The following is a 16,020-nucleotide window of genomic DNA, read 5'->3' as shown; positions in this document are numbered from 1 at the left end:
GCCCCGCCTTCTCGGCGCGGTGATTGGTCTGTGCAGTTGCCGACATCGTGTGACTCGCGCGAACGAGCTCCTGGCGGTCCCAGCCATTGGCTCCGCGGATGGAGTGAGGATAGTGAGACCTGCAGAGCCAGCCAATGGTCGGCACCGCGGAGCGCCCGGAGGCGGGGAAGCGTGAGAGCGCGCCACGGCGTGAGGGGGCGGGCACAGACGGATGGCCGCCTCGCCCTGCAGCGCGGAGTCGCCTTGGCAACTGCGGTCCCGGCAGATTCCCAGTGAGAGCCTGCGCTGTGCGGGGGAGAGTGTCGCGCCGGCCGCCGTCCCAGGACTTTTATTTCAAATGTGACCTGTGTAGCAACCGCAGTTCCCAAACCCGGGAAGAAGAGAGTATAGATGAGTCTTAAAATCTATGTTGACTGTTTTGTGTTTCCAGACACCCTTGCCTTCCTTTTTCTGGTCTACCATTTAGATTTAGATCTTTCGTCTCCCTTGTTTCCCCAGCCTACGTATCCTTTAATAAATTCCTGCATTTTGAAAACGGAGAATTTCAAATGCGATTATCGTCATTTTGCAGATGAGAAATAAAGGCTGGGAAAGATTTAAAAAGATTGAACATCAAGGGAGAGTTCGGCTCCCAGGACCTTGACCTCGCTACATGGGCAGAGAACGCCCAGGTGTTGTTGCAATTGTTGTGCTGGACGATGAGTGCCCGGGGGCGGGGGCGGGGGCGGGGGCTTGACGCAGGTCTTTGCAGCTCTAAAGCTCAGTTTACACCATCTCTCAACATTAAAATATTGTGTACTGGGGTTTAATAATAAAACTGTACAGATGTGATAATATACTAAAACTTTCACTTAACGGAAGAGGTGCCTTTAAAGAAAAAACCGCACAGGGGCATCATTTGGGCTAGTGAAGGCCCTTTTTCCTCCTTCTTTATTAAGGTATAATTGACAAAAATTGTGTTTACGGCGTACACATGTTTTGATTATGTGTATATTGTGTCAAATATATACAGCTTCTGAAAACAGAATACTATTGTTTCATTCCTCCATGCTTTTGCTCAAACTGGCCCTTCTGCCTGGAATAATCAGCCATCTCCATGCCGCCCCATCAATTCAGGTACTATCTCCTTGAGGAAGTTCCCTCTTGAAAAGTGTCTTTTTTAGATTCAGTGTGACCTGTACTTATTCGTCTATCCCTCATGTTTGGCACACACATTCTTTGTAAAGTATCATGACAGCGGTCACGTCAAATGAAAAGAAATGGGATCTGTCCCTTGGTTGTCAGAGTCAGCCCTGTCTTTAGGATGCCTTTACAGTGGTGTCTGAAACCATGCCTATATACTTTATGAAGTTAATCTGGGAAAAAGGGGTGGGGGGAACGAAATTAAACCAAGCTTGCAGCACACTGAGGATTAATAATTAGGTCAGCTTGCTGTCTGACCCCTTCCTCATAATTGTTTGCCTATTGCTTCAGAATCATGTAGACTCTGTTACAAGGTTATAGTTTCCCCTAACTGCTCTATAGACAACAACTTGAACATTATGAAACGTTAAGTTTGTGCTTTGAGATAACCTTTCAGGTCCTTCGTACTGATGAAACTACTGACTCAGCTGGTCTGACAAGGAGCTGACTCACCAAAGAATGCAGTTCCCACATCCTGATGGTTTCATTCCTCCTTACCCCAGCCAATCGAGGACCCTAATTTTCCAGCCCATTGCCCTCCAGGATCCCCTTAAAAGCCCCAGCACAGAACTCCTCAGAGAGATGAATTTGAGGGTTTCCTCCCATCTCCTCTCGGCACCCTGCCATCACTAAACTCTTTCTCTTCTGCAAACCCTGCTGTCTCAGTGTATACTGTGCAGTGGGCATATGAATCTGTTGGTCCTGTAGTGGATGCTGTGGCACACCACCCAGATCCCCCTCTTCAAGACCTAAGCAGGCATTCCTCCAGCTGCTGAGTACTGCCAAAGAGAAGCACCTCTCCCCACGGGTATACCCCCTTTCTAGGCAACAGCTAGTCAAGTAACTGGTTGAAACGGGTATAAAATCCCCTAAACCAATGTAGGGCTACTTTGCTTGGCCATCCCAGCTCCAGAGCTCCCCATCCTATTGGTTGTGTGATGACTGCACTGCCACCCAACTTTTCTCTCTGCCCAAACCTGCCATCCTCTATCAGGTGAGCATCAATAGCACACACTATCGGGCCACACTTACTAGGCTTGGCATTTTATTAGCAGTGGATAAGTTACTTCTCTGTCTTATCTGGTACTTCTGTGAAATAATAATACCTACACCTCGAAGAGTTATTTATGATGATTACATGAGATAACGTATGTAAAGCCCTTTGCACAGTCTCTGGCATACAAGATATGATCAGTAAATGTCAGCAATTATTTCTGATTTGGAATTCTACCACAGTATTACATTTTCTAAATCAGAGCAGGTGTAGGTGTATGGAGGGGTCAGATTATTTTAAACCTTAAAGGCTTAGAGCTGGAAAAAAATGCTGATGCAGCAGCTCAACTCACTTATTTCCCTACAATGAAGATTAACAGGGGGCTCAGGGAACAATAGCTGTAATTTATTGAGGGCCCGCTGGATTTCAAGCATATTAACATGCATCATTTCTTTCAAACGCAACAACCTTGTGACACAGACACTCCTATTGCCATTTTAAAAACAAAATAAGGATTAGAGGTTAAGTAATGTGTTGAAAGTCACAGCTAGCAATTGATAGAGGGAGCTGCAAACCCAGAACCCTTTTGTTTCTATGCCCATGGGCTTTCCAATATACCACATGGCTTTTTTCCTTAAAGCCAGGATTAGAACCCCAGAATCTTGACTCAAAATATAGTTCCATTCTCCAGCGTAGCCTCCTCTCCAAAATGAGACACTGGCAGCCATGGAAGTCAGTAGGAGGCAGTGTGCTTAAGACAAAACTAAACCAAGATGGTGTCAGCACACTGCTATGTAATTTCATGTGACCCTTTTACACCTCATAAAGTTAAGTCTCATAACGCAACAGCAGTTAGGATTACAAATACCTGGGTTCTTATGCTGTAAGGAACGATAAAGAGATAATAAATACCAGGAATCATACACCAGACTCCATAAGAAACAGGGAAAGAACTGATAGTCTTCTGACAGTAAATACACCTTCCGCCTTAACCACAGTCATCACTGCTTTCAGCCAAGGAGGCATAGATCCCAACAAAGCAGGCAGACGAGTTGCTTCACAACGCAGGTATGTGGATCCAGCCTTGAACTCTGCTCAAACGTGGGGCTGCTTCCTTGGCAGGATTTCTAAGACACCTCTCTGCCTTCTTATTTTTCATACAACAATGGAACAGGCTGAGAACACTTCCATATGCCTTTAAAAAAATTTCAAACTGGAAAGACAAAGGTTGGCATGGGGGAAGGAGGTATGTCTAAAGTCTCTGAAATCATAGCTATGAATCCAGCTACTGACAAACCTTGGCAATTATAGTATAGCTATTAAAGCTTCAAAGATTAAGAAAGTAAAGATAGAGGTATTTGACATGCTATGTAGTTAAGTCTTTGTTACTTTAATAGGCTGAGATTATATTTTAAGAAAAGCTTTAAGATTTTTCAGATAAATCTTTAATTGATAGATTCATATAGAACATTAGTGTTTGGAAGTGATCAGGACAGACAGAGACCTCATACATTTTTCTTGGTGCCTCTGTCAGAAACAGCTGACTACTCCAAGTTCATTAGACCTTCAATATGTTTGTTGACAATGATGTGCTGTAAGGCAGAAATTCATGTTTTCATCAACTGAGCATAGGCTTTTTCTGATTAAATTCATTTATAATGGAAAGTTCAACTAAGTATTAAATGTGGTTCCATGTTTAAATTTGAATCGAAATGTTATCATAGCAATCTTTCCTCTTGATTATCAACTGGTCTAGCAACAGCTCATGCCAACTTTTTTAATTCCTGAGGAATGGTCACAATATCCCATCACCTCCTCCTTCCCCCTCTTCCCTTCCTCTGCTGTGTCCAGCACCTCAGCTGCCTACCTGACTCCACTATTCCTATTTCCTCAATTCCTTTTATTTGGTATCAAAACCACAGTTTATTTCTCAGTTACTTTGGAGTAGGTATTTTTTTTCTTTGACTTTCCTTTTGGTCTAATACTACTTGTTTTATCCTTATCTCATGCCCTACCCATATCAGGGACACAAAAATATAAAAGGTTTAAATTTTACCAATCCTTGACAGACCTCTCCTTGATAGTTGAAGTTACTTTTCCTTGGAAACAGAACCATTTTTATTGACTTCGGTTATTCATTTAATAGTTTTGTCTTGTAGGTGAGGTCACTTTGGCAATAAATTAAAAATGCAGATTTGTGAAGTGACAAAATGCAAACTATAAAAGAGCAAAAAAACTAACAGGAAACTTTAACACAAAACTAAATAGATAAAAATCAAGAACACTGTGAAACAAATAATATACAAACTTTTATTCAAAGTTAATTCAAGAAAGACATGTTTTGGTCATTTTTAAAGTGAGATTAATTGAAGATCTCAGAAAAACTGTATCTGATCAACACACATGGCTACTCACAGAAAGTTCTCTCTTCTGTTAATAGCAGCTAAATTTATACACACAGAAAAAATTCCGAAGACCATGCAAATTCAATTGAATTCCATACATTCATTATATTCATCAAAAACCTGCAGTAATGTTCATGCCAAAGTGTTAATTTAAGAAAAAAATTAAAAATACACACCAAAACATGACCAAGATTAAACTAAAGAAAATAATAAATAAGCATAATTTATATTGTATTTTAAAAAGTTTGGCATCACACATATTCAAGTGTGTTACACCAGGTCCATTCCTCAGAAGTGGCATTTAAAGTGTTAAGCATTGTTAAATATCAAAAAATACAACTCTGTTTTACAATGTAGTACTGGCATAATTCAAAGTACTGTGCCAATTATAAATAGTATAATCAAGTTTCAAACATCTTTTCAAACATATTTAAAGGAAAGCATATAGACACACATTTATATGCACATAATTTATTATATTCATGTAATCAAAGTTATTTTATAAAAGCAAACAGTGTATCCCTCAACTAGTTTGTATACTTACGTAGATTTTAATATCTGTTCAAAGATTTTCAGTTCCTGGTATACAGATTTTTAGAAGAAATAAAGATAAAATTTAATTTTACAAGAACACACATTACTTCATCCTCCTTCACAAAATAATCTGTAGTCATTCAAGGTTGATAAGAACTAGTCTTTATGAAAGCAACTGTTGTCTAAAGACTACAGATTAAGTCCTGCAGTCCAAGTTTCTTATGAAAATTCAGTCAGCTGCTGCTCATTGCAGAAAAAGCCTACACGGTGCTTCTACCAAAAATAATCTTCAGTATCTGAGGCCTATAAAGGCAGACGATCGTATCTTCTGCTGAGACTTAAAGTGCAGCTACAAGTGGAGAAGTGCTAGATTCTCAGTCACTTCACAAATACTTGTTGAAGGCTGTTTCTCATGTATAAATATGCTGAAAATGTCCTTCAGGCTCATAATGGTTTATCAATAACTGTGACCCCTGAGCAAAGAAATGAAGAGAGAAAAAAGAAGTCACAGGCAGCACTCTGTATCTCTGAGAAAACACTCAATTCTTCATTATAATACGAAGGCAGGAGGAACTGTACAAATCATGTTTCAGAATCTCTTTCTTAAACTTTAGTAGTATTATCATTTGAATCTAAATGACAGTGAAAACTCTGTTTAGTTATGGGCTAGTTAAATATAAGACTATTTAATCCAGAACTAGTCTTTTCCTCTTTGTAGTTACAATTTGGAAAATATACTCAAAAGGGAACACAGAAACTTTTGAGCATGATGGATATGTTCATTATCTTGATTGTGGTGATGGTTTCATGGGTATATACTCTGTCAAAAGTAATAAAATTATATAGTTTAAATATACAGTTGACCCTTGAACCGACATGGGGGTCAGGGGTGCTGACCCTCCACGCAGTCAAAAACCCATGTATAATTTTTTACTCCCGCATAATTTAATTACTAATAGCTTACAGTTGACCAAACGCCTTACTGATACAGTCAATTAACACATATTTTACATGTAATATATGTTATGTATGTCATAACATGTTATGTGTTATATATTGTATTCTTAAAGTAAGCTACAGAAAAGGAAATGTTATTTAAAAAGTCATAAGGAAGAGGAACTATATTTACTATTCATTAAGGGGAAGTGGATCATCATCAAGGTCTTCATCCTTGTCTCTTCACATTGAGCAGGCTGAGGAGGAGGAGAAAGAGGAGAGGTTGGTCTTGTTGTTTCAGGGGTGGCAGAGGCAGAAGAGGTGGAGGAGGTGGAAGGGAAGGCAGGGGAAACAGGAGAGGCAGACACACTTGGTGCAACTTTAAGGAAATACACTGTTAATTCCTGTCTGACTTTTTTGTTTTTTTCATTTCTCTAAAAATGTTTCCACATAATACCAATCGTCTTTCCACTACTTTCTTCAGTTACAGTGCACATATCATAGAAGGGCCCATTTCATAAAGTAAGTCATAAACAGTCTTGAATAACCAAACCCTTTTGCCAGACTGTCTAATGTCAATTTGTTTTCTGACATTGCTTCTACATCTTCTTCATTGTCTGGCAGTGGTTAAGAAGCACTCATCTCCGTCGAGTCATGTTCTGTTAATTTCTCTGGTTTGGTATCTATTAGCTCTTGAATTTCTCCAAGATCCATACCTTGAAACCCTTCACCATCAACCTTTATAGCCACATCCATGATCTCTTTCATGATTTCTTTGACTGGCTCTGTCATAACTCCTGTGAAGTCATACACAACATCTGAACACAGTTTTTTTCCAGCAGGAATTTATTGTTTTGGGTTTGATGACTTTCATAGCTTTTTCTATAACAATGATATATTCAATGGTGTAATCCATCCAGACTTTCATGTTTTCTCTGTTGAGATTCTCTTCCATAGCACTGGCAATTTTTTCCATAGAGTGCCATGTATAATGAAACTTTAAGGTTCCTATGGTCACTGATCTAGAGGCTGAATTAGATACATTGTGTTTAGGGGCAAGTAGACCACTTCTATGCCTTTGGTGTTGAACTCATGGGGTTCTGGGTGGCCAAGGGCACTGTCCAATATCAAAATAAAAAGCAGTCCCTTACTGGCATGGTACTTCCTGAACCTGAAGCATAGATGGAACCAGTCCGGGAAAAGATTTCTTGTCTAGGCCTTCTTGTTATACAGTCAAAAGACTGGCAGCTGGTATTTATATTTTCCCTTCAAGGATTGGGGGTTAGCAACTTTTTAGATAAGAGCAGTCCAAATCATAAACCCAACTGCATTTGCACAAAATAGTAGAGTTAGCTTATCCCTTTCTGCCTTAAATTCTGGTGCTTGCTTATCTTCCTAATAAATGTCCCTGGTGGCACATTTGTCTGCATTAAAAACTTGTTCAGGCAGATATCCATTCTCCTCAACAACTTTCTTCATGGCATCTGGGAGCTCATCTGCTGGCCCCTTGGTTGACAGAAGTGTTCTCCTGTTATCTTGACATTTTTTGAGCCAAACCCCTTTCCAAAATTATCAAGTCATCCTTTGCTTGAGTAGGCTGAGGAAATTCTCCAGCTTTAGATCCTTCACCTTCCTTTTGCTTCAGGTTGTCACATAATGACTTTCCTTTTTCTCAAATCATATTAGAGTTGACAGGTATGCCTTTCTTACAGCAATCCTGCACCCACCAAAAACCAAAACCAAAAAGTCAAAAATAATAAAAATAATAAAAATTTAAAAATTAGCCAGGTGTGGTGGCACATCCCTGTAATCCCAGCTACTCAGGAAGCTGAGGCATGAGAATCGTTTGAATCTGGGAGGCGGAGGTTGCAGTGATCTGAGATCACGCTGTTGCACTCCAGCCTGGGCGACAAGAGTGAGATTCTGTCTCAAAAACAAAAATCCTGCACCCACATAAAAGCTGCATGTTCAACACAAGATAAAAAGGGATTTCACAAAAAGTGTGAAGTTTTCAAAACTGCTGGGATGGCTGCAGGGACGGCTTCATGAATTTCCTTTTTCCTTTTTACAATGATCCCTACCCTGGATTCATTTATTTTGAAATGGTGGGCAAGTGCAGCAGCAGACCTCAATCCATGGTATATCTCAAGCAATTCAGCTTTTTCTTGTAATGTCATGACTCTTCTCTGCTTCGTTGAAGCACTTCCTAGCACCATCACCGGTGGCACTTTGTATGGGTCCCATGGTATTATTCAAGGTTTATGATATTGCAGTAAACATGATGAAAAATAAGGCAGAACCATGAGAGAGAACTTTTTACTGAGATACGCATCGCTGAAGAGACAAACTGCTCTTTCAAAGGTAATTAGCCCCCCACAGCTTTTTAAGTGGATACTCACAACAGCTGAGCTCACCAATACAGCAACAGGAGACGGCTATAAAATTATTATAGTAGTACAGTAACATACTACAGTTAATTTCATGCAGTTATGATTTAATATTGTATCTTTGTGGTTTGTTCACATTTCTCTGGACTGTGAATGACACCATCTATGGTTTGTGGGTGTTTGTTCCCATAAGAGTTTGTGTGCATATGTTTTGATAAATTTTAACTTTTTGTAACAGATTTGTAGATATTTTGTAGTAAATGATAAAACAGACTAGTATCTACGTATATTTTATGTGTTCATAATCTTAAACTTAATTTTTTCAATATTTCTAGGTTATGCAGTGCATCTGAGTTTTTTCAAACTGTTACCAATCTCCAAAAAAATTTTTCCAACATAATTATTGAAAAAAATCCACATGTAAGTGGACATACACAGTTCAAACCTGTGTTGTCCAAGGGTCAACTGTACGCTATGTATTCTGTCAGTTTATACCTCAATGAAGTTGTTTTAAAAATTCATCTAATATTCACCCATGTTATACTGGAATTCTACTGTACATAGTTCTTCTCAGTACTGTTTTGAATGATACATAAGCAACAGTGATGGTTAATGAGCTTAAACATTTTCTTCCTCCACTATTGGATCAATTTTGTTACAGAAACATTATACTATTAAAAGCAAGATAAATATAATTGAAATAAATAACATAAAGACTCACCATAATATTTATTAAAATTAACATTTATCTTACTAAGAGAATGGACCAAAAAATCACATTTTATAACTCAACCAGTACTATGCTTAAGAAAGAAAAATTATTCCACAGCCTCACTATAATACTATCTCATGGAGCCACACCATGGGGAGATGTAGGAATCCTATCCTATTTCTTGGACATCTCAGGAATTAAAGCCTTGCCACATATGAATTCTTCTCCTCTGCATACAGATTTTAGCTACATTAAATTTTATTATATGATTTTGTATATCAAAGATTTGGGATTTTGAATACAAATGACTGTAGAATGACAAAAGTATACTGGTGCTTTATTTCAGAATATACACAGCCAATGTTAATCATCTTAAGAATAAGATATAAACTATACCTTGAGAAAAGACTTTATTCTTATAACAGAAAAACTTCGTTAATATAACATTCATAATGAGGTCATCTTTTTGTACGGAAATTGACTTTAGAGACAACTGTTACCTGCATAACTTCTCCCTGTGCTCATACACGATGACACAACTGTCCATTTATCGGTTGTTGGGTTATAATATTCTACTGACGCCAAGTTACAGGAACCATCATCCCCTCCAACAACATATAACAGACCATTAACTGCACAAACTCCTTTAAAAAATTACAGAGAGAAAACAATTATTTAAAAAATTGGGATGAATATGAGTATCACTGTACATGTTTAGTGAGGTAATCCAGAGACACTAATTTCTTTGAAAGGAGGCAAGAAGAGAAAATAGTGAGCATGAAAAGAATTCGTTTTATATTAGGATAGCCAGGCACCATGGCTCACGCCTGTAATCCCAGCACTTTGGAAGGCCAAGGTGGGCAGATCACTTGAAGTCAGGAGTTCGAGATGAGCCTGGGCAACATGGCAAAACCCCATCTCTACTAAAAATACAAAAATCAGCCAGGCATGGGGGAGTGTGCCTGTGGTCCCAGCTACTCCAAGAGGCTGAAGCCGGAGAATCACTTGAACCCAGGGAGGCAGAGGCTACAGAGAGCCAAGACCACACCACTGCTCTCCAGCCTGGGCAACAGAGTGAGACTCTGTCTCCAAAAAAAAAAAAAAGAATTCTTTCTATATTAGGAGACCATAATACCACTTCTAAGCTCCTACTGAGTGTCATTTATGCAGTAGTTACTTTATATATGCATTATTCTACCTAATTTTCACAACATTATAGGTTAGAAACTATTTTGACCCTCATTTTTTTTTTTTTAATAAAAAGTCAAAGTCAGCTACTTAGGGAATCTTAAGGAAGAAAATATATGTTAGTAGAAGGTAAAAATATTCTTAATTTTAATTATCACACTGAATGGTTAGCTATTTTATCTCCCTTTAAAGAGAACAATATTATTTATCTATTAAAATAACTCTTTTCTTTGCAAAAATTCAAAACATCTAGAAAAGTATTATAAGAAAAAAAGATGACCTCCAACCTTATGTCTCTTAGAATAATGACCATTAAAATTTTGATCTCTACTCTGGCTAACTTTTCTCCATGCATATATACTCAGACACTTTCTTTTTTAACCCCAAAGTAGCTCACACTACACATGCTACTTTATTAAATAACTTACCCACCCTGGCCAACCAACCTACCTTGGACATTTCCTCAAGTTAATAAATATAAATGTAATTTTTATGTATGACAGTTTATTTAATCATTTTTTTACTGATGGATATTTAAGTAATTTTGATTTTTTTGCTGTTACCAATGATGTTGCAATGAACAAAGATCCCCTGAACAGTGTTTTGAATACTTGAGCAATTTTTCTTAATATAAATTATTAGAAGGAAAACTGCTGAGTCTAATGGTAAATGCTTTTAAAAAGCTATTTCAATGTAATTTTTTAAAAGTACATTTAATTTCTTATAAAAAGTTCAGTGCTACTATGAACTTATACTAGAGGGCATCAAAGAATCCCGAATAATGCTGCCCAAATCTACAAAACTTTGTAGGAAAAAAACTCATACCATTTTAAAGTTGTTCAAATACTTAAAAGCAAGAATCAAATGCTGCTGCCACACAAGCTCCACACAGTAGTTACATGTGTATGCAACACTGTATTTCAGCCTATTGATGGACAACATAGGACTGTGAGAGAAAAAATGATCTCAAAAATGGCCCTGCTATGATGGAAGGCATGAACAAGGAGACTATATTGTTCTAAAGAGTTTTCCCAATCATATCTATGAGGGGCTCACAGATTAAAGAGCATCCCACTGCAGAAAGGGAGGTTGGTCCATACATCCATTTGAATATCTTAGCTATACATTCAGAAGACATCAATTTTACTAACCCACTAACTCACAACACCAGATTCCTTTTAGGCGATAGGAGCCAAATCACTTTGCCAAAAGGATGCACCTTCCTGCAGTGTTTGATGGTTCCAGTTTATTCAGTTTACTTCAACACAATCAAATTCATATTGAGAACCTATTACAGATGTGCTAGGTATTAAAGGTCTATATATAATCATCTAATTCAAATTTATTTCATTTTTACTCCACTCTTGGTGTCATAATTTACCATACTTATGAAAACTTTTGAAATCTGGCTTGTAAGCTGCTTGCTATTTCAAATTTATATGGATGCTTTCACCTCTCCCCGCTTAACATTGAATACATGTCCTCCACTCTTTGCCAGCTTAGTTCTTTCTTTCCAATAATTTAGGTGCTTGGATGAGGTCCTTAGCCTAGGTTATTAAAAAGGAAGAGCTGAACAGATCTTATCAGAAGTTTGTTTCAGATTATCAGGAATATGGAATGAGGGTGAGATTTTAAAATACTCTTATGAACTTAAATAATTTTAAAATATATGCTCAATTGGATTATACTGTATCTTGTAAATTATAGAAGTAAATAATTCAAATTTTGTTATTTGCATAGAAAATAAACATCATTGATTGAGAAGGAAAAACAAACTGAAAAGTAAGCTTTCAGATTTCTCTCTCTTCCTGATTATCAAATAAACTCAAGTAATGTTGTCTAAATCAAAATATGAAACAACTTTTCAACAGAGACTTACGTCTTTTTCCTAAATCCTACCCTTTCCCACACAATTTTTTGAAGAACAGGATAATGGTAGCTCTATATATACAAATTATCTCTTTATTCTTCTACCTAAATGAGTGAATTTTGATATGAAAACAATAAACACATATAGAGAAAAAATAAATTAGTCTAACCTTTAAGAAAATATTCATAAAAAGCTCAAATTGCAACTAAATTTCCTAATCCAGGAAGACACATGCACAAATCACCATGGCTTTTCTAACTTAATGTATACTGGAGTCACTTATTCTACTAAGGACCCATATTTGAGGGTCTTACCATCTAACGAACTGATTACCATATACAACTGACTAGATGACGTGCAAGGCCAAACAGAATTAACTATAAATTCTGGTCTGCTGCCAACAGTATCTGCAGTTCCACATACTTAGTCTCTCTTAGTAATCACCCTTCTTTAAAGAGAAACTAAGATGAGCGCTGATGGAGGGGGGTGTCCAATGGTGTACAGTAAGTTTGAGACTCACCAGGAACTTATTTTACACTATGAGAAATGACATGAAGATAATGGCATTTTGAAGAATCCTAGCATTTCCTGAAAGGCTATGTAGCTATCTTGAGTCTATTTTCCATTTGTATTTCCCTTTCTTGATTCTTCTTTTTAAGTGGTTAGTTCCCTAATCTTGAAGTTCTCTACTTTCTTAAAATTATTTGTTGTTATTGTTGTTGCTTTAGTTTTTCCATTTTTCTGGAAATCCTGAACTGTATTAAGCTAGGGTTACCTTTGCAGACTTCCCCTCTAGATTTAGATAATCAACTAGCTTTTTAACCTAGTATAAATATCTACTCAACTAGACTAAATTTCCTGAGAACTAGGATCTCCAGTGTATGATAGATACATAGTAGGCACTAAATTATATCTGTTGTAAGAATGAATGAATTCAGTATCATTTAAAGGGTCTACACCTAATTTAATTAGTCTCCACATTTATCACCAAAAAGTAGCAGCTAGTAGAAATGATGAGTTTACTGAAGTGTCACAACAACCTGTTATGTTCCAGAGACTATGGCAGGCATTCACTTTATAGGATTATTACATAAGTTTCTGGCTTTAAAGAGTTCAGAGTCTATCAGGGAACCCAGATCAGTAAAAGAACAATGGAAATACCATTGATATTCATTGATAGAGTGATACCAGTGAAACTTAAAATAAAATTCAACATAAGTTTTATAACCTTAAACTGACAGATACCTGCATTTCTTCTGCACATGTTCATATCTGCAACCTGTCTCCATGCGTTAGTGGTGGGATCATATACTTCAACACTTTTTCGTACTAAAGGGCCATCATGACCTCCTACAGCATACAATAAATTGTTTAACACACCAACACCTATAAAACACAACCAGCCAAATAGAGGGGCAAAAAGAACAAGAGATTTATATCATATTAGGTTTATTTAAATGACTTGTAACTAAAACTTTCGAAGTTATAATTCATAATAAAAGCAAGCTGATACTATAGCCTACAATTTAAGAAATGGAAATCAATACAATTGATGATTAAATAAGCATCTCAACAAACTATTATTCTGAAAAAAGAGGCATGTCAAACAGAATAAAAATATTAATAACATGTAGGTGAAACACAGGGAGGGAAAAAGTCCTTTAATGTAATCCTTTTGAAAACAATATCCATAGTAAAATAACCGCATATTAAAGCACAAAATTTTAAGAAATATACATGAAAAGACTTGATTATTAAGCAAGTTCCCCAATAAGCACTAAAAACAAAAAACTAAAAGGAGTGCTAACAACTTGAATATATAAATGAAACAGAAATGTCTATGGCACTTAGACATTAAATTTTAAAGTAAAATTACTTTGTAATTACTCCCATTACCTGCACAATTCAAAAGACATTTAGCAGTGCCACTAAAATCAGCATATCATATATTTTCAGATAATGTAAAGTGATGCCACTGAATCATTTTACTTTAACTATTTTCCATCATTTTTGTGCTTCAGTTGCTAAAACAGGTTCACATGTACCTGCTCCACTCCGCCTGGTGCTCATTTCTGCTATATAGGTCCACTCATTTGTTGTAGCATTATAGCATTCTACTGTGCTAAGACACTGACGTGATGCTCCATCATAACCTCCTACAGCATAGAGCAAACCTACACATAAAATCACATAGAAAGCCAAATTTATTAAAAAACAAACAAACAAAAAACACTAATTTTTCAAGCCAGAAAATATTAATATATTTTCCTTCATGGCAGCAGAGTTTCCCCTTAAAGTGCTGCTGATTTTTATGAAATATATTAGGGTCTTGCCTAATGGTGACAGATGGGGTAATCAAATCATGTTATGAAGATCTGCAGGGTATAGCTGATGATGTTAATTTTATACTTTCATCAATAATCTGATAAAATAGCACACTCATTATATCTTTAGGTAACACTATTTGATAAGTGAACAACATCCTGTAAGACAGAATTAAATACCAAAGTTATCTTAGGAAATCGGAAAAAAGGTTAAATCAAAAATTAATAACAGAATGCAATGCAATATTACTTGGCATTAAAAAGGCATGAAGTACTAATAAATGCCTCAGTATAAATAAACAAATCTTGAAAACATCACCCTAAGCCAAAGAAGTGAGTCACCAAAGATCACATACTGTATGACTAAAATATTCAGAAGAGGCAAATCTCTAAGTGATAGAAAGTAGACTAGCAGTTGCTGAAGGTTGGGTAAGATACGAGTAAGAGCCAAGGGAAGCAGGATTGCTTTTAGAGGATAATAAAAATGTTTTAAAATGAATTGCAGTGATGGATGCACAATGAACTGTATACATGAAATGGGTGAATTGTATGATGTGGATTATATCACAATAAAGCTGTTTTTTTCTAAGTGCACAGATTACACCTACGATGAGGAGGGGGTGGAAACCTGCAAATTTGCCCAAGTCAATTAAAAAAAAATAATAATAATAATACTTAGAGCCTTCCTTAACTTCTGTTGGGAGACAAAGTAGGATATAAATAAATAACTGTGGCAATCCATCCCTTAACAGCCCTTCTCCAGATATAAAATTACACATTTATGTCACCTGAATTGTTCCCCCAAGCAACTGTTAAAATCAGTTGACAGTCTTATACAGCAGCAGTCCCCAAACCGCAGGCCATGGACCGGTACCTGTCTGGAACCTGTTAGGAACCGGGCTGCACAACAGGAGGTGAGCGGCAGGTGAGCAAGTATTACAGCTGAGCTCTACTTCCTGTCAGATCAGCAGCGGCATTAGATTCTCACAGAAGTGTGAACCCTATCTTGAAATGCACATTTGAGGGACCTAGGTTGTGCACTCCTTATGACACTCTAATGCCTGATGATCTGAGGTGGGAACAGTTTCATCCCAAAACCATCCCCCCAACCCACCCCTGTCCATGGAAAAATTGTCTTCCACAAAACCAGTCCCTAGTGCCAAAAAGGTTGGGGACTGCTGTTATATAAGTCAAACACACACGTGTTATATAAGTCAAACACACACAGTTATATAAGTCAAACACACACACACACACACACACACACACACACACACAGAGAGAAAGGAGGAGGGATAAAGGGAGGGGGATAGAGAGGGAGAGAAAAGGCTTTATATAGGTTGATTTATATAGAGAAGCTAATTTTAAAAAGAGGATAACTGAAATTTTACAGTAATTACGACTTTTCTTTTTAAAATGATAATTAGCTTGCCCATTCAGAAAACTAAAGTTGAGATTACTGGAAGAACCACTCTCAAGGATCAAAAT

General features: G+C 37.1%; 1 protein-coding gene across 11 annotated transcripts in view, besides 1 other annotated feature; it reads right to left on the bottom strand.

Annotated features, from left to right (window-relative positions):
* Positions 13-352: a silencer, noted in NCBI's record as "silent region_15784". NCBI's record gives its function as "represses an Ori minimal core promoter by ATAC-STARR-seq in GM12878 lymphoblastoid cells {active_cell/tissue: GM12878}" and the evidence as "EXISTENCE:reporter gene assay evidence [ECO:0000049][PMID:35858748]".
* KLHL2 (kelch like family member 2) overlaps positions 4,464-16,020 on the bottom strand; it is a 115,596-nt gene continuing 104,039 nt past the window's right edge. For 6 of the 11 annotated variants that reach the window (XM_047449560.1, XM_017007674.2, XM_011531572.3 and 3 more), the window contains 4 exons: positions 14,254-14,382; positions 13,454-13,594; positions 9,651-9,794; positions 4,464-5,588 (listed from right to left, as the gene is read on the bottom strand). In XM_047449560.1, the coding sequence (XP_047305516.1) occupies positions 5,560-5,588; positions 9,651-9,794; positions 13,454-13,594; positions 14,254-14,382 (443 nt within the window). In that variant the 3' untranslated portion in view covers positions 4,464-5,559. Of the gene's footprint in view, positions 5,589-6,268; positions 6,309-9,650; positions 9,795-13,453; positions 13,595-14,253; positions 14,383-14,543; positions 14,692-16,020 lie in introns of those variants that run through there. The other 5 variants (NM_007246.4, NM_001331024.2, NM_001331023.2 and 2 more) reach the window with 3 other exon arrangements.

The sequence above is a fragment of the Homo sapiens genome, chromosome 4 (genome assembly GCF_000001405.40).
Source record: "Homo sapiens chromosome 4, GRCh38.p14 Primary Assembly".
Classification (NCBI taxonomy): domain Eukaryota; kingdom Metazoa; phylum Chordata; class Mammalia; order Primates; family Hominidae; genus Homo; species Homo sapiens.
This window is presented reverse-complemented; position numbering and strand designations above follow the sequence as displayed.